This window comes from Homo sapiens, chromosome X (assembly GCF_000001405.40).
Source record: "Homo sapiens chromosome X, GRCh38.p14 Primary Assembly".
NCBI lineage: Eukaryota > Metazoa > Chordata > Mammalia > Primates > Hominidae > Homo > Homo sapiens.
In genome coordinates this window covers 102,814,064-102,832,309 of record NC_000023.11, presented here as the reverse complement: position 1 = coordinate 102,832,309, position 18,246 = coordinate 102,814,064, and the positions used below count along the sequence as shown (strand labels likewise).

General features: G+C 41.6%; 1 protein-coding gene and 1 long non-coding RNA gene across 9 annotated transcripts in view; both read right to left on the bottom strand.

The window, feature by feature from the left end:
* Positions 1-18,246, bottom strand: part of ARMCX5-GPRASP2 (ARMCX5-GPRASP2 readthrough) — a 308,717-nt gene that overhangs the window by 75,755 nt on the left and 214,716 nt on the right. The window contains exons 9-10 of one of the 2 annotated variants that reach the window (NR_146584.3): positions 6,141-6,317; positions 5,166-5,341 (exon numbers count right to left, since the gene is read on the bottom strand). The gene's annotated coding sequence lies outside the window, so the exon portion shown is untranslated. Of the gene's footprint in view, positions 1-5,165; positions 5,342-6,140; positions 6,318-15,227; positions 15,319-18,246 lie in introns of both variants that reach the window. The other variant, NR_146587.2, reaches the window with a different exon arrangement.
* Positions 1-18,246, bottom strand: part of LINC00630 (long intergenic non-protein coding RNA 630) — a 195,371-nt gene that overhangs the window by 132,214 nt on the left and 44,911 nt on the right. For 4 of the 7 annotated variants that reach the window (NR_146589.1, NR_146591.1, NR_146590.1 and 1 more), the window contains exon 2: positions 5,166-5,341. This is a non-coding gene — a long non-coding RNA (long intergenic non-protein coding RNA 630). Of the gene's footprint in view, positions 1-5,165; positions 5,342-15,227; positions 15,319-18,246 lie in introns of all 7 variants that reach the window. The other 3 variants (NR_146593.1, NR_038988.2, NR_146592.1) reach the window with 1 other exon arrangement.

The window sequence follows — 18,246 nt, the reverse complement described above, 5'->3', positions numbered from 1 at the left end:
GTGCTCTAACATCTCAGGCCAGCATCTCACTTAGCCAGAGTTGATGGTCCAGATCTTCATGTACCACTGTATGGTTCCTGCTTTAAGAGACACCTGTTGCCCACCTAGTTATCTCTCCTGCCCTCCTCTCAGCTGGAGCAGGCTGTTCTGTCTCTGTCAGTAGGGTCTTTAAGTTGCTCTGAGGATTCAATCTTCCCCCACCCTCACCCCACCACCCAGCCTTCTGACAACACTAATGCTGTCCTTACAGTGTCAGAAGTCAGTTTCCAAGGCACACAAACATGGCAGGGACATCCCCTCACAGGAAATTCAGGTGCCTCTTAGGAGGGGAAGTGTGCCACCCCCCTTATTATTAGACATCACATGCATGCCAGACTAACCTGACTTAGGGCCATGGTTTTCAATCCTCTCTTACATCAGGATCCCCTCCTCTCAGGGCTTCCCTAACAGCTGACACCTCCCTAGCATTCTTCCCCATTCCTACTTCCCAGAAAGCACACACCAATGCCATCAGAGCCATAAACGGAGCACAAATCTTAGTCCACAGAAAATAATTCAGGGAGTGAAGGAAGTAGAGGCAGCCCCAGGAACCCACACTGGGGCTTCCATCTCCAGCTGATGGCATCTTGTGAAGAATAGAGCATCATCAGTCACTTGCCATCTCATCATCTCATTCATGACATTTGGGGTCAGGGATAATAATCAGCATCCTATTTCCAGATAATAAGCTATTTTGTGTCCTCTCATTTTATCAGCACGTTAACATCATAGAAGCATGCCATATTTTCATGTTGGGCTCTTGAAACAGGAGACACCACAGAGGAACAAGAGCTGTGAATCTCTAAGTTAACAATTATCTGAGAGAGCTCTTTCAATGGGCAGGTCTAAGGAAATGAGCGATCAGAGTGGCAGTAAAGGCAAAAGCTGGTCATACCTGGAACAGATGGAATGGAGGGGAAATGAGTTTTCACATAACACTTTAGGTGTCAAATGGAATATCTACTTTCTGAGGCCCATATTACTATGGCTTAATCACTTGAATGGACTTTGATATAGAAGTCTTATTTCCAACAACAAGTGAGTTTCTGCTAAAGGTTTAGAAAAGATCTCCAAGCTAATTCTGACATGCATGCAAGTGAAGGAGTCCTACCTGAGGGGTCAGGTTAGGAGCCACATTAGTTTTCTGATCCAGAGAGGAAAGGCAACTAATATTGATAGAACACATTGTTTAGAGGGTCCAGCTCCATGTTCTTCACTTTAGTGATTGAATTTAATTCTCATGACAACCCTACTAGTGAGGTACAATTATGCTCTCTTCATGGATGTATATGACTACAGCGCACTTGCTCCTAAGCACAGAGCTGGATGGCAAAGAGTTTGCTCACCACACAAACTAATGGAGCCAGGGATAGAATCAAGCAGCCTGGGCAATGGTACAAAAATGGTCAGGATTCATAATATCTAAACAGCCCCAAAATCACGTTATTAATCTCAGAAACACTATTTTCAGAGGGGAAAAAGGTGCAAAAGGGCACTTACTCTACAATAGCACAAATATTTATAGCCAAAAATGTACAATTACATATTTTGCATAATTCTCTCCAAGTCTATAAGGAAGGCATCATTATTTCCAGTTTACAGATGACCAACTAAGACTCACTGATGGAAAATCAATTTTGCAGAGGCATCTAGTAATGATCAGGAGCAGGGATGTAACTCTCACTCTCCTCAAAGGACAACACATTGTCTCCTTTTATAGTGGATGACCGTCTAAGACTTAAACACTTGTAGTTTTTTTTTTAATTTTTATTTATTTTATGTATATTTTTTGAGACGGAGTCTCATTCTGTTGCCCAGGCTGGAGTGCAGTGGCGCAATCTCGGCTCACTGCAAGCTCTGCCTCCCGGGTTCACGCCATTCTCCTGCCTCAGCCTTCCGAGTAACTGGGACTACAGGCGCCCGCCACCACACCTGGCTAATTTTCATATTTTTAGTAGAGATGGGGTTTCACTGTGTTAGCCAGGATGGTCTCGATCTCCTGACCTTGTGATCCGCCCGCCTCAGCCTCCCAAAGTGCTGGGATTACAGGCATGAGCCACCACGCCCAGCCAAACACTTGCAGTTTTTTATGTTGCCAGGATTATGCCCTTGTGGGTACTCACTCAACAACCTCTCTCTCTTTGAAAGAGCTGATCGTGCAGATGAAATCCCAGTGCAAGGTCCTATAGGTGGTAATGGGTCTGGTATAAGGGTCAAAGGCTTATGACTCCTGCCTCCTCTTCATCTGCACTCTCTCTTCATTTGAGGCTCAATAGAAACTGCTTTTCCAAATCAACGTAGCAGATCAAATGAGGGGGCAGAAAATGATAGGGGATTGGTTTGACGATCTTCTCATCTCACTCCAATACCTCAGCAAACCATCCTGCAACACAGAAATGGCCCCAAAGGTCCATGTATAATGTAAGTGTGAGCACATGCTCCATCTTCCTGCTCTCCTTCCAGGTGGTCTCTGTGGCAATTATGCTGCTTGGTTTAGATAACAGTCATCACTTCTCTGGGAGGGAGGAAAAAGGTGGGCCTGGATGACCATTCGTTGAAGTTCTACTAGGTGCCATCTACTCTGTATGGGATTTCTCATTTACCCCACAGAAAATTTGTCTAAGAAAGGCATTGTGAGTCCCCTTTTACAGATGAGCAAGGGCAAAGTAGAATGGCAAAGGATTTGATTACCACAGAAACTGAGAGAGCCAGAGATAGTAGCTGGCAACCTGGGCACCTTAAGTGCTGGTGGCAGATCTTTAGCAAATGTATCTGGACACACACTGTTAAGGAAGTTAATGTCTGTCCTCCCTGTGTTTACCCTCCTTGCATTTCCAGCAAGGAACCAGGCTTGGTGTTCCTTCCCCTTGCCTTAGGGGAGGTTTATGACAGGGTTGGGAGCCAAAGATGTCTGAATCCAGTTTCTTCCATTCTTTAGGAAACTTAAACTTAAGGGAAAGATTGGACTGCTTGTTATCTGGTAGGAAAGGGAAGGCCTCTGAGGACATAGAGAAAGGAGAGGAAGAGAGATTTATCCCAAATAGGGATGAGGCCAGAGATCTACTTGTCCCTCCAGGAGTAAGGATCTGAGCACTGCTCCATATCAACCCTTGGGTTTGATCCAACCCCAAGGTCCATTGAAATTGGGCATCCAGCCATGAGACCTATTTTTCTCTTTGGATAAAAGGATGGATGGAACAGGGTCAGGGAGTCCTTAAGGCACCAAGCCAATTAGGCAAATGGTCAGCTCAGCACTGAGCAGGAGGGACACATGATTGATGATGGCAAGGACCTCTCAGGCTGTTAACCAGAGTATAAGTTTCCACAAGTGGGACTGCTTCCTCAAAAAGCATGAATATTAAACATTTGTCTAATTCACCTTAAAATCTCTTTGCTAATTTGTCACAATGAAATACAAGATATGAATACTCATTTTCCAAGATCTGTACAAATAATGGGTTTCACTATATTATTAATATTTGCTAATGTGATATACTTTTGTTGGAATGTTAGATTATTTTTCATTTTCCATATTTTATTTTCCTATAAATGGCATATTTCACATTTAAATTACCAAATGGAAACATAATGATCCAACTTTATGTCTTAAATATGTCCTGGAATAAGAATCTACAATGAACTCAAACAAATTTACAAGAAAAAAACAAACAACCCCATCAAAAAGTGGGCAAAGGATATGAACAGACACTTCTCAAAAGAAGACATTTATGCAGCCAAAAGACACATGAAAAAATGCTCATCATCACTGGCCATCAGAGAAATGCAAATCAAAACCACAATGAGATACCATCTCACACCAGTTAGAATGGTGATCATTAAAAAGTCAGGAAACAACAGGTGCTGGAGAGGATGTGGAGAAATAGGAACACTTTTACACTGTTGGTGGGACTGTAAACTAGTTCAACCATTGTGGAAGTCAGTGTGGCGATGCCTCAGGGATCTAGAACTAGAAATACCATTTGACCCAGCCATCCCATTACTGGGTATATACCCAAAGGATTATAAATCATGCTGCTATAAAGACACATGCACACGTATGTTTATTGCAGCACTATTCACACAATAGCAAAGACTTGGAGCCAACCCAAATGTCCAACAATGATAGACTGGATTAAGAAAATGTGGCACATATACACCATGGATTACTATGCAGCCATAAAAAATGATGAGTTCATGTCCTTTGTAGGGACATGGATGAAGCTGGAAACCATCATTCTCAGCAAACTAGCGCAAGGACAAAAAACCAAACACTGCATGTTCTCACTCATAGGTGGGAATTGAACAATGAGAACACATGGACACAGGAAGGGGAACATCACACACTGGGGCCTGTTGTGGGCTGGGGGGAGGGATAGCATTAGGAGATATACTTAATGTTAAATGATGAGTTAATGGGTACAGCACACCAACATGACACATGTATACATATGTAACTAACCTGCACGTTGTGCATATGTACCCTAAAACTTAAAGTATAATAAAAAAGAAAAGAAAAGAAAAGTAAACTCAATCAGTGAGTTGGTGTTTATGCTGTATCCTCATTAAATGGAAAATGCAGGGCCATGATAATTCCATACATGGCCTAGGGAGGACAAATTGGTACAACCTCTTTGCAGAGACATTTGGCAACATCTGTGAGAGAAGAAAGCAAGGCACCTGTCACCCACTGTACTCTTAGGTCTGGACAGCATATATGTAAGATGGCCAAGATAGCATGGCTAGTCATATTTAAAGGAATCTCAAATCACCTTATTAGATATAGCTAAGTAATACTATTTTCAGAGAATGAAAATTTTCAAAAGAGCACTTACTCTATGATGTCATTTATATATTTATAGCTAAAAGCATGTAGTTGTATATTTTGCATGATTCTCTCATAACTTTGTGGAGAAATCATCATTATTCCCATTTTGAAGTTGACTATATTAAACTTGCTGATGTAAAATCAATTTTGCAGACTCATCTACTAAGGAACAGAAATGGCATTCTAACTCTCACCCTCCCGAAAGGACACCCAGGTATCTTCTTTATAGATCTTAACCTTTTAGGACTTAAACACTTGTAATTTTACATGTTTTTAGTACTGTGCCCTTGTGGGTACTCACTCAACAACCTCTCTCTCTTTGAAGAAGCTGATAGTACAGATGAAATCCTGGTGCAGGGTCCTGTAGGTGCTAACAGATCTGGAATAAAGTTCAAGGGCTTGTGAGTCCTGCCTCCTCTTCATCTGCACTCACTCTTCATTTGGGGGCTCAATAGAAACTGCTTTTCCAGTATCAATCTAGAAGATCAAACAAGGGGGCAGAAAATGACAGGGGATTAAAGGAAATGTTTTAATTATCTCCTTCCCTTTTCCCTGATCCCTCAGCAAAGCCCTCCTGCAACACTGGAATGGTTCCCAAAGCTTCATTCATAATGCAAATGTGAGTAGGTTTAACTTCTTACTGCTTGGTATGTTTCCAGGTAGACTCTATGGCAATTGTGCTGTTTGGCTTAGGTAACAGTCATCACTTCTCTAGGAGGGAGGTGAAAAGTGGGTCAGTATAAGCATTTGTTGATGTCCTACTAGGTGACATATATGCTGTACAGGATTTCTTATTTACACCATAGACTAGTTATGTAAGGAAGACGTAGTAAGTCTCCTTTTACAGATAACTAAGGGCAAGCTGACAGAGGGTAAGAAAGGATTTCAGCATCACACATCAAGTAAGGGGCAGGAATGTGGTCCAGCCTTTGCTGTCATCACAGTATTTCATGCATTGTCAACAGAGGCGACATTATGCCCAAGGGGCTGAAAATTGGCTCTGGATGGTAAGGAGGATGGGAGACATTACAATGGTTTGTGGTCCTGCAAAGTACCACAGTACATAAACAGTTACCACTTTACGTGTGGTATTAAAATTTTACATTCTTGGCAGAAAGGATGTGTGAGGAAGAACATGTCTAAAAGTCCTCCAAAACAGGGACAAGAATGAAAGAAGGGGAGAGAAACACTGCCTATGCCCAGTGACTTCTTATGTAGATAACTGGCCACCAGGGCTTTGGAACTGATCACTTTACTCTCCTCCCCAGATGCTCACTCAACAACATCTCTTGGTGATGATGATGATGGTGGTGATGGTGATGGTTGAAATGAAATCCTCTCTCTGGGCACAGGAGACTTTGATATGGGGACCATATGAATTGACTGGCTCTTAAGGTGACAGACAGGCAGGGGCTCAGTCAGAACGACACATGTTTCTTCTGGAACAGATTACCTGGAGGGTAGAAAATTAATGTTGACAAAACTAGCATAAGCAAGAAATGCTCTAATTTGCATCTCTTTTCATCTTAACACTTATTCAAGTAGCCTATTATTTAATGTATAATTTAGATTAAATTATGGGAATTTAGGAACAGTTACATAAATCAGACAAATTGCTTTGTAATGCCTGCTCAGTAATAGAAACTGAAATTTCATTAAGGCATTGTGTCCTGAAGCCACCAGGAATTTGAATGCTCTAATCTCTCTCAGTGCTCACATGCAATACTGCCCAGGGTATTGCTTAATTTATTTATATAATGAACTATAATACTTTAAAACTGTAATACTAAATTATATGATATATGATATCAAATTATTAAATATTTAACTAAATATAATTAATTTTAATATATTAAATATATTATATTAAAATTACATTATAAAATTGTAATATTAAATTAGATTATAGTATTAAATTATATGAGTCTAATTATCATGACATAGGAAACATTCCCAGTAATCAGTACGGAGAAATGGCCTAGTGATGCTGTCGTAAGTAGAATCTAAGTATGCACCCAATGATTTTTGTTTCTTGTTATTTACTCCTTTGTATAATCTGTCTCATTGTGTGTGAGCTGGAGTTAGTGACTTTCTTCTAATTGGTATCCACAATGGTATAGTTTGAATGTGTCTTCCAAAGTTCATTTGTTGGAAACCTGATTCCCAATATAAATTGGTACAACCTCTTTGTGTTGGAAGGTGGGACCTTTAAGATGTCTAGGGTCATGGTGATTCTGCACCCATAAACAGATTAATGCCATTATTATGGGAGTAGGTTCTTCATAAAAGGACAAGTTTCTTCCCCCTCTTGCTGTCTCTCCTCCTCTCTTTGCTCTTCTGCCACGAGATGATAAAACAAGAAGACCTCATCAGATGCCAGCCCCTCGATCTTGGACTTCCCAACCTCCAGAACTGTGAGCCAATAATTTCTGTTCATTACAAATTATACAGTCTGTGACATTGTTCTAGCAGCACAAAAATGGATTAGGAAAATGTGTACCAAAGAAGTGGGGTTTTGAAACAACAAATAACTGAAAATGTGAAAGTGGCTTTGGAACTGGGTAATAGGGCCTGGAAGAGTTTGGAGGAACCAGCTAGCAAAGGCCTACATTGCCATGAATAGAGCATTAAGGGCAATTCTGGTGAGGGCTCAGAAGAAGAGTATGGCTGTAAGAAAAGTCTGAATCTTCTTAGAGATTACCTAAGTGATTGTGATCAGAACGTTGATAGAAATATGGACAGTAAAGGCCATTCTCACCAGGTCTTGGATGTAAATTAGGAATATATTATTGGAAACTGGCATAGAGGCAATTCTTGTTATAAATTGGCAAAGAACTTGACTGAATTGTTTTGATGCCCAAGGGCTTTATGGAAGACAGAATTTAAGAGTGATGAACTAAAGTATCTGGCAGAAGAAATTTCTAAGCAAAGTATTGGAGGAACCGTGTGGCATCTGTAACTGCATACAGTAAGATGTAAGAAAAGAGAAATGATTTAAAGACAGAATTTGTAATTTATAATTAAAAAGGAATCAGAGGGCCGGGCGTGGTGGCTCATGCCTGTAATCCCAGCACTTTGGGAGGCCAAGGCGGGTGGATCACCTGAGGTCAGAAGTTCAAGACCAGCCTGGTCAACACGGTGAAACCCCATCTTTACTAAATATACAAAAATTAGCCAGGCATGGTGGTGGGCGCCTGTAATCCCAGCTACTTGGGAGGCTGAGGCAGAAGAATTGCTTGAACATAGGAGATGGAGGTTGCAGTGAGCCGAGATCGCGCCATGGCGCTCCAGTCTGGGCAACAAGAACGAAACTTCATCTCAAAAAAAAAAAAAAAAAAAAAAGGGAATCACAACATAAATATTTGGAAAATTCACATTCGTGTCATATAAAGAATGAAAAAGCATGCAAGGGTGCAGCCAAGCAACTCTCCGATAATGGGATTAGCATGGAAAGAAGGAAGCCGGGTGCTGTTCAGCAGGACAATGCATTGCAGAAAGACTCTGAAGGCATTTCAGAGATATTCAAAGTTGCCCCTTTCCTACAAGTCCAGAGATCTAGGAGGGCAGAATGATTTCAAGGGACAGGCCTGGGGTGTCCCTCATGGGCTCACTGCTCAGAGCTGTCTTGGGACTGTGATCCCTGCATTCTAGTACAGTGCTGCCTGGCAGCCCCAGCTGTATCTCAAGTGGACCTAACTGCTCCTATGAAGGGTGCAAATTGTAAGCATTGCTGGTTCCCACATGGTGCTAATTCTGTAAGTGAGCAGAATGCAAGAGCTGTGGGGGCACTGCTTCCTTCACCTAGATTTTAAAGGATGTATCAGACATCCCTGTGACCCAGGCAGAAACCTACTGCAGGGGCAGAGGCACTATAGAGTTCTCATTAGGGTAATGCCTAGTTGAGTCACAGGCATAGGGTTGCCACTGAGACCATGAACCTGTAAACCTATCAGTGTGCAGCTCCAGCCTGGAAGAGCTGCAGGCAGGAGACTCCAACCCATGAGAGCTGCTGCAAGGGCCATGCCCAGCAAAGCCATAGGGGTGGGGCTTCTTGAGGCCTTGGGGGCTTAACCCATACCCCATTGTGCTCAGAAGGTGGGACATGGGGTCAAGAAAGATTATTCTCCAGCTTTGAGATTTAATGTTGTTTGCCCTGTTCAGTTTTGCACTTACTTGGGACCCGTTACTCCTCTTTTCTTGCCTATTTTTCCCTTTTGGAATTAGAATATCTATCCTATGCCTGTCTCACTGTTGCATTTTGGAAGTAGGTAACTTGTTTTGATTTTATAGGCTCACAGCTTGAGGGAATTTGCCTCAGAATAAATCATGCCTTGAGTCTCATCCATATTTGATTTGGATGAGACTTTGGACTTTTGAGCTGGTGCCAGCACAAGTAAAGACATTGGGGCTACTGGGATGGAGTCAGAATATTTTGCATGTGAGAAGGAGATGAATTTTATGAGCCGGGGGCAGAATGCTGCAGTATGAATGTGTCCACTAAAGTTTATGTGTTGAAAACTTGATTCCCAATGTGTAAGTGTTGGTCTATCCAAGTACTTCTTCCCCAAATTTCTTTGTCACCAATTTTCCAATCATGTTTTTTTCCAAGTTCCTGATCATGCAGCCAAACTATTGTCCACAGTCCATGAATCAGTATATATAGAAATGGCAGGTCCAGCCATTTGTCCAAGCAAAGTGATCAACCAGGTACACTGCTCAAAGTTCTGCCCACCGGGAGAGTTTCCATTCACCATTGTCCTTCAGGGACATCCTGGAAAGGGGATGTAGTGTTAGTTGTCCACTTTTGAGTAGTGCTTGCATATCATGCAGAATCATCTGTAAACCAAACTTCTCTTTCTCTGTCAACTGATCATAGGGAACTTAGATTATAGGTGCAGGCTGGGAGAAAGAAAGGAATGTAGCAAAAATGAGGACCATGGGCATTTGAGCTGCTTCCTCATGTAACTTACTTATGCCTTCAGTACCTGCTTGAGCTCGATTTCATATATACTACTTACCTTTGATGATGGAGTGAGTGCTGCTGTACATACCCAACTTTATGGCTATGTGGGTCAGATAACACACAGGTCATGGTGGGCAGCTCACGTCACATGAAAACTTGGTTGTTTCCAGTCTCTACTAAGGCCCATTAGCAGGCCAAGAGCTGTTTCTCAAAAGAAGAGTAGTTATCTAGGAAAGATGGCAGGGCCTGTGTTGCCATTCACCTATGGGGGCCTGCCAAAGGTTCCCAACAGCATCCCTATCTGTCACTGACAACTCAAGCACCATTGGATCTGCTTGATCATATGGCCCAAGTGGCATAGCAGCTTGCACAGCAGCCTGGACCTGTTGCAGAGCCTTCTCTTGTTCTAGGCCCTACTCAACACTAGTAGCTTTTTGTGTTACTCAGTAAATGGGTCAGAGTTACACACCCAGATGAAGAGTATGTTGCCTCCAAAATCCAAAGAAGCCCACCAGATGGTGTACCTCTTTTTTGGTTGTAGTAGAGGCCAGGTGCAAGTATTTATCCTTCACCTTAGAAGGGATATCTCAAATGCTCCACACCTCTGAGCTGCTAGAAACTTGACTGAGGTTGAATATGCCACCTTTTACCTCTGAGGAGAAGAGAAAACTAACAGCCATATAGTATTCTATTATATTCTTTAAACTAGTAGGCTAAAACAAAAACTGATAAAAATAATTACTTATAAGGGAACAGAGTAGCAGCCCAGGATGGAAGCTGATCATATATATTCTCTTAAAAATATAATACCTATTTACTGGTCTGATGCACTGAAAAATTTAAGAAACAATGGCCAACCCAGTAGCAATGAAGAACTCTAGTACCCAGATTGAGTCCTCTAAAAATATTACCCACAAGGAAAAATGGCTGAATCCAAGTCTGTGGTAGAGCTGTACCAGATGAGTCTGGACTGAATGATCATACCAGCGAACATATCAAAAAGACTCAGAAGCCAACCTGATAGGACTTCCACAGACCAAATAAGAACAATTTAAGCATCAAAAACATTGGTGCCTACAGTGAGTTAAAACACATCACATACAGAAACATCTCTGAGTCGTGATGACACTCTAAAAGAAAAAACACAAACAAAACCAACTCACTGCTAATCTGTGGAGGATCCTACAGAAACAATACTTATTCTTAAAACTGGAAATACTGCAAAATGATTAAATATTTGTCCTTCCTTTCCTGTGTGTGCCATACCTCAGTTAAGCCTACTAGTTGGCAGGGGCTTGGGCGGGGGTTGGGGGGGGCGGGGGGGAGTTTCTCTTATAGAAAATGTCCAGCTAATAAATGCAGAAGAAATTGTAGTATCTAAACATCATCATTTTAGAATTTTTAATGAAGTGCAGATCTTGGTAAAGATCAGAGATTGTAAAAAATAATGAGGTAAAAAGCAGATGGGAAATTACATAATAGATGGATCAGTCTAACAACACCTGAGCCCAGTGCTCAATCTTAATGTCAAGGTAGGAGTGACAATAAGACACAATGACGCTCCTTGTATGCCTATGAATTGAATGCTTGTGTCCTCCCAAAACTCATATGTGGAAACCCTAATCTCCAATGTGACAGTATTTAAAAATAGGACTTTTGGGAAATAATTAGGTCATCAAAGTGGAGCCCTCATTATGAGATTAGTGTCCTTATAAGAAGAGACACAGAGAGTTTACTTGCTCTCTGCATGCACACACCAAGGGAAGGCCATGTGAGGACATAACCAGGAAGAGGATCCTCACCAGGAACCCAACTATACTGGCACCCTGATTAGACTTCTAGCTTCCAGACTCATGAGAAATAAATGTTTGTTATTTAAGCCACCTAGTCTGTGGTAATTTGGTAAAGCAGCCTGAACTAAGACTTGGTGTAAGGATATAGGAAGTATGTAACACATCTGAGGTACTCTTGCCAAAAAATCCTGAACTGGATGAAGCCTCTAACTCTACTAATTTATAGAAAATAGGAGGGGCCAGAGCAATGTAAGTAACAGCACAATGGAGATACAATCAGCAAAATTGAGAATGTAAACTCCACAAACCAAAGTTCCAGTATAATAAGCAAATACAAGTTGAGTATCATTAATCTGAAAATCCAAAATCTGAAATGCTCCACTGAGCATTTCCTTTGAGCATCATGTCAATGATCAAAAAGTTTCAGATTTTGGAGGCTTTTGGATTTGCAGATTAGGAATACTCAATATGTAAGTTGAAAAGCAAAAACAAAGAGAGAAAAGAGATTTAAAACTCCAGAGAGTTAATGAGAAAGTAAAGTATAATTAAAACCATAATGAGATACCACCACACTTACACCAGAAAAAGAAAATTAAAAAGATGGAAAACACCAAGTGTTGGTGAGGACATGGAAGCTGTGTAATTCTCACAGCACTGGTGAAAATATAAATTCAACAACCACTTTGAAAAAGTGCTTGGCAATATTGACTGACCTGATCATACACACACCCTACAACTCAGAAATTTCATTCTTAGGTCTGGGGAAGGTACGCACCCAAAAGAAAGAAAAATAAATGTTTATCCAAAGATATGTACAAGACATTCATAACGCTGTTATTCATGTCAAAAACTAGAAAAAAATCCACATAGCAGATATGCTTATTGTGAAATATCCACTCGATGTAATAATATCCACCAATGATGATGAATGATCTACGACTATAGATAATAATAAATGTAAATCTCACATACAGTATGTTGATTGAAGGAAGGAAGTTAGAAAAGAGAACATGATGTATGATTCTAGGAATTTTTCTTCAAATTTCCCATTACAGTTTGGGCTACATAAAAAATTCAACACCCTATTTTTTCTTATTTGAAGGTACTTAGTGTTCCCGTATATTATCTGCAGGTTAACCTCAGAGAAGCACATATCCTCTGAGCCCTTGAAAAGTGAAGCACTACAGCTATGAACACGGCTAATGCTGCTGATATGGTTTGGCTGTGTCCCCATCTAAATCTCAACTTGAATTGTATCTCCCGGAATTCCCACATGTTGTGGGAGGGACAAAGGGGGAGGTAATTGCATCAAGGGGGCCAGTCTTTCCCATGCTATTCTTGTGCTAATGAGTCTCACGAGATCTGATGGGTTTATCAGGGGTTTCCGCTTTTGCTTCTTCCTCATTTTCTCTTGCTGCCACCAGGTGAGAAAGGCCTTTCGCCTCCCGCCATGATTCTGAGGGCTCCCTAGCCATATGGAACTGTAAGTCCAATTAAACCCTTTTTTGTTCCCAGTTTCAAGTATGTCTTTATCAGCAGTGTAAAAATGAACTAATACAGTAAATTGGCACCAGTAGAGTGGGGTGTTGCTGAAAAGATCCCCAAAAATGTGGAAGTAACTTTGGAACTGGGTAATAGGCAGAGGGTGAAACAGTTTGGAAGGCTCAGAAGAAGACAGGAAAATGTGGGAAAGTCTGGAACCTCCTAGAGACTTGTTGAATGGCTTTGCCCATGCTGATAGCGATATGGACAATAAGATCCACGCTGAGGTGGTCTCAGATGGAGATGAGGAACTTTTTGGGAACTGGAGTAAAGGTGACTCTTGTTATGTTTTAGCAAAGAGACTGGCAACATTTTGTCCCTGCCCTAGAGATTTGTGGAAGTTGGAACTTGAGAAAGATGATTTAGGGTATCTGGCAGAAGAAATTTCTAAGCAGCAAAGCATTCAAGATGTGACTTGGGTTCTATTAAAGGTATTCAGTTTTATAAGGGAAGCAGAGCATAAAAGTTTGGAAAATTTGTGGCCTGACTATGTGATAGAAAAGAAAACCCCATTTTCTGGGGAGAAATTAAAGCTGGCTGCAGATATTTGCATAAGTAGCAAGGAGCCTAATGTTAATCCCCAAGACCATGGGGAAAACGTCTTTAGGCCATGTCAGAGACCTTCACAGCAGCCCCTCCCATCACAGGCCTGGAGGCCCAGGAGGAAAAAATGGTTTCCTGGGCTGGGCCTAGGGTCCCCATGTTGTGTGTAGCCTGGGGACTTGGTGCCCTGTGTCCCAGCTGTGGCTGAAAGGAGCCAACATACAGCTCAGGCTGTGGCTTCAGAGGGTAGAAGCCCCAAACCTTGGCAGCTTCCACGAAGTGTTGAGCTTGCAGGTGTACAGAAGTCAAGAATTGAAATTTGGGAACCTCCATCTAGATTTCAGAAGTTGTATGGAAACTCCTGGATGCCCAGGCAAAAGTTTGCTACAGGGGCAGGGCGCTCATGGAGAACCTCTGCTAGGGCAGTGCAGAAGAAAAATGTGGGGTTGGAGCCCCCAGAGTCCCTACTGGGGCACTGCCTAGTGGAGCTGTGAGAAGACAGCCACTGTCTTCCAGACCCCAGAATGGTAGATCCACTGACAGTTTGCACCATATGGCCAGAAAAGTCACAGACACTCAACACCAGCCCATGAAAGCAGCCAGGAGGGAGGCTGCACCCTGCAAAGCCACAGGGGCGGAGCTGTCCAAGATCATGGGAACCCACCTCTTGCATCAGTGTGACCTGGATGTGAGACCTGGAGTCAAAGGAGATCACTCTGGAGCCTTAAAATTTGACTGCCTTGCTGGATTTTTGGACTTGCATGGGCCCTGTAACCCCTTTGTTTTAGCCAATTTATCCCATTTGGAATGGCTACATTTACCCAATACCTCTATCCCCATTCTATCTAGGAAGTAACTAGCTTGCTTTTGATTTTACAGGCTCATAGGCGGAAGGGACTTGCCTTGTCTCAGATGAGACTTTGGACTGTGGACTTTTGGGTTAATACTGAAATGAGTTAAGACTTTGAGGGACTCTTGGGAAGGCATGATTGGTTTTGAAATGTGAGGACATGAGATTTGGAGGGGCCAGGGGCAGAATGATATGGTTTGGCTGTGTCCCCATCGTCCCCATCGAAATCTCAACTTGAATTGTATCTCCCGGAATTCCCACATGTTGTGGGAGGGACCCAGGGGGAGGTAACTGAATCATGGGGGCCAGTCTTTCTCGTGCTATTCTCGTGATAGTTAATGAGATTCACGAGATCTGATGGGATTATCAGGGGTTTCCGCTTTTGCTTCTTCCTTATTTTCTCTTGCTGCCACCATGTAAGAAGAGCTTTTCACCTCCTACCATGATTCTGAGGCCTCCCCAGCCATGTGGAACTGTAAGTCCAATTAAACCTTTTTTTGTTCCTAGTTTTGGGTATGTCTTTATCAGGAGCATGAAAACAAACTAATACAGCTGTGTATAATGGACATGCAGATGGATATGGGACAGGAGACATACCTGGCCACAGTGCCAGACCTATCCCACTAACTCTAGGTGCCCTTGAGTAAGTCACCACACTGCATCTATACTCACCTGGCAAAGAGGGACTGAGTAGCCCTGTCTCCAGCAAGATCTCAGGGACAGAGAGCAATGTGATTCCCATCTGGAAAACCACTCTGAGTTCCTAAAAGGAAAGAGAACTCATTCGTCTTGGGGGTCCAACGAATTATCTACATCAACAGCCAAGTTGTCTAGTACAAAGTAACTATGATGTTTATTAATGTTTTTATTTTAAAAATTATTACTTTTTCTTAAATACCATCTGGTACAATGTAGAATGACTACAGAAACATAGATAAAAGAGCTATGGTCTCAATGTTACACCAACCACCATGGGTTGACATAGTTCAACAAATGTCTGTCTCTTCTTCCTAAGTGTACTGGTTAGAGGAGTGTAGGCTCTGTATATAGACTAGAGACAAACCCTAGTTCTGCCATGTAAAAATCTTGTGACTTTGAATACTTTTATTTCACCATAAAATCACTCAAAGTCTTGTCAGTAAAACCAGTATTATATAGTACTTACAATAGAGGACAAAACATATTTTAAATGTACCATGGAACTTAAAATTAAAATTAAAATTAAAAAGTCCCTGTGTGCTGGTTTTTAAAAATATAAATGGCCAGGGATCACATTAACTTGAAAATTCTATCTAAGGCAGAGATACTGGGGAAAGAAAGCTTAATAGTCTTGCAACTGAATCCTATTTATCAACTCAGGTATTTTTAAAATTTTAATTTTAACTGGCATAATTGTATATACTATGGGGTACACTGTAATGTTTTGATATATGTTTACATTGTGGAAAGATTAAATCAAGCCAATTCAATAAAGCTTAATAGTCTTACAAATGAGTCTTCTTTTTCCTTTTTCTTATTTATTTATGATCCAGATACTCATTCTTTATTATAAAAATGGCATATTTTCCTCAAATCTGTTGGAGTTCTCTACTTTTGTTTGTGGTATCTTTTGTTAAATAATAGTTTTTAACTTTGCTGTAATATTTACCTATCTTTGCCTTATATAGCTTTTGATTTTACTTATTTTTTAAGTTTTTGTTTGCTTTTTAACTTTGATTTTAGTTTCAGGAGTACATGTGAAGGTTTGTTATACAGGCAAATCGTGTGTCACAGGGGTTTGGTGTGGAGATTATTTTGCCACTCAGGTAATATGCATAGTACCCAGTAGGTAGTTTTCAATCCTTACTCTCCTCTCTCCCTCTACCCTCAGGTATGAATATCAGTCATCAACTAATGCATTTTTAAAATCACTTTTTTTCACTACAACCACTGTTGGTTGACTAATTACCTTAAGAATGCCTCAAAAGCACTTGGAAGGACTGATCTCAGAAAACAGCCCACCATTTCTCTGTACGGCCAAACAGCTGAGGGGTCCTCCTTGACTGTGCCTTATCCCCACACACCCCACGCACACAGCCATTGCAGGTCCCCCGTGTCATACCTCCAAACACGACCTGTCCAGGTCTAACCCTTCCTCTGCACACAGCTGCAGTCCTGGTGCCATTCATCTGTGCCTCTTCCCTGAATTTCTGCAATATTCTTCTAACGGTTATCCCCACTCCTTATTTTGTCCCTCTCCAGTCCATTCTCCACACAGTGGCCAGAGACACTTTCTGATAACAAGAATCAGATCACGTCACTCCTGTACTCTAGCCTTCCACACTCAGAATAAAACCCAAACTCCTTAAAGGATCCAAACCATGTGGCTCTTGTCTGCCCTTTCAACCTCATCTCCCACCTGTCTGCACTTACGTGCCAGGCTTCAGCCACTTCAACTTGTCCTCTGCTCCTAGATCAATGGTGCCCACACACAGCACAGGGACACTGACAAAATGGCCTTTCCATGCCTGGCTTCTTTCTGTTGTTCAGGACTCAGCTCAAGCATCACTTCCTGAGAAAGAGCTTCACTGACAACCCCATCTATAATAATCCCTGTCTCAGTCATTTTCTACTCTACCTGTTCATTTTCTTCAAAACACAAATCCCCATATGAAATTGCCTCACTCATTGATTTGTTTACCTGCTTATTGCCAGTTTCCCCAAACTAGAACAATAGCTCCAGGGATTCTTCTTTTATTCTCTATGATGTTTCTTCAGTGTCTCATACATAAATCACTGAATAAGAATTATTGTATTGAAAAAATTGTTACCTACTGGACACACAAGAGAAGACACAGAAATTTAAAGCTGAGTAGCAGGAGCAACTAACAATGAAATTAGACATCAAAGGATTTAAACTTTTTATAGACCTTGTTGCCATCCATAGCATTGCTTTTCAATTGTGGATGAGTAACAGAAACAACAAAAGAAATTACTCAAAATCTAGACACCTCTCACTTCACCTCCCTGGTTTTGATTCTGCAGATCTAGGATGGCCTCAAGTATGTGCAATTTTAGCAAGCAACTGTGGACAAATCTGATGAAGTGGTCCATAGATCACACTTGTAAAAATCCTGACCTAAACAGCTCAGAGTTGGGTACCATAAATTTAATGCCCACCATACAAAGTTCTGGGATATCTGCATTTGCTCTGTTAATATACTTAGCTGAAAGTTCACTGGTTCTTCCCCACCACATAAGACCGCAGATTGCCACATGGGATCACACTTAAATTCCAGAGTATTCCTGGGTGGTCTAGAGGCGTGGGTATTATTATCCCATTGGATAGACAAAACTGGCAGAAAGGTATGCCCTGCCTAAAGTGTCCCCATGATGTGACTTGGGTCTCTTTCCTCTTGCTCCAGTAACCTAAGAGGCTTTCAGAGTCTCTGATGTTAAACTAGAAGAGAGAGTAAGGGGATAAGAAAGCACATGGAATAGAGAAGAAAGTAAGAGGATAAGAAAGCACATGAAATGCAGGGGATGGGGTGATGATGTCTGGCCTATCCCCACTCAGTTAACTGGAAGCTGAGCAGTGATGTTTTTCCTCTTCCTCAACTCCATCCCAGAACCCCTCCCACACACAGCAGTGACACTGAAGCTCACACATAATGGAAATGTGGGCTTATTCCTGCTTGATGTTACATTTCCA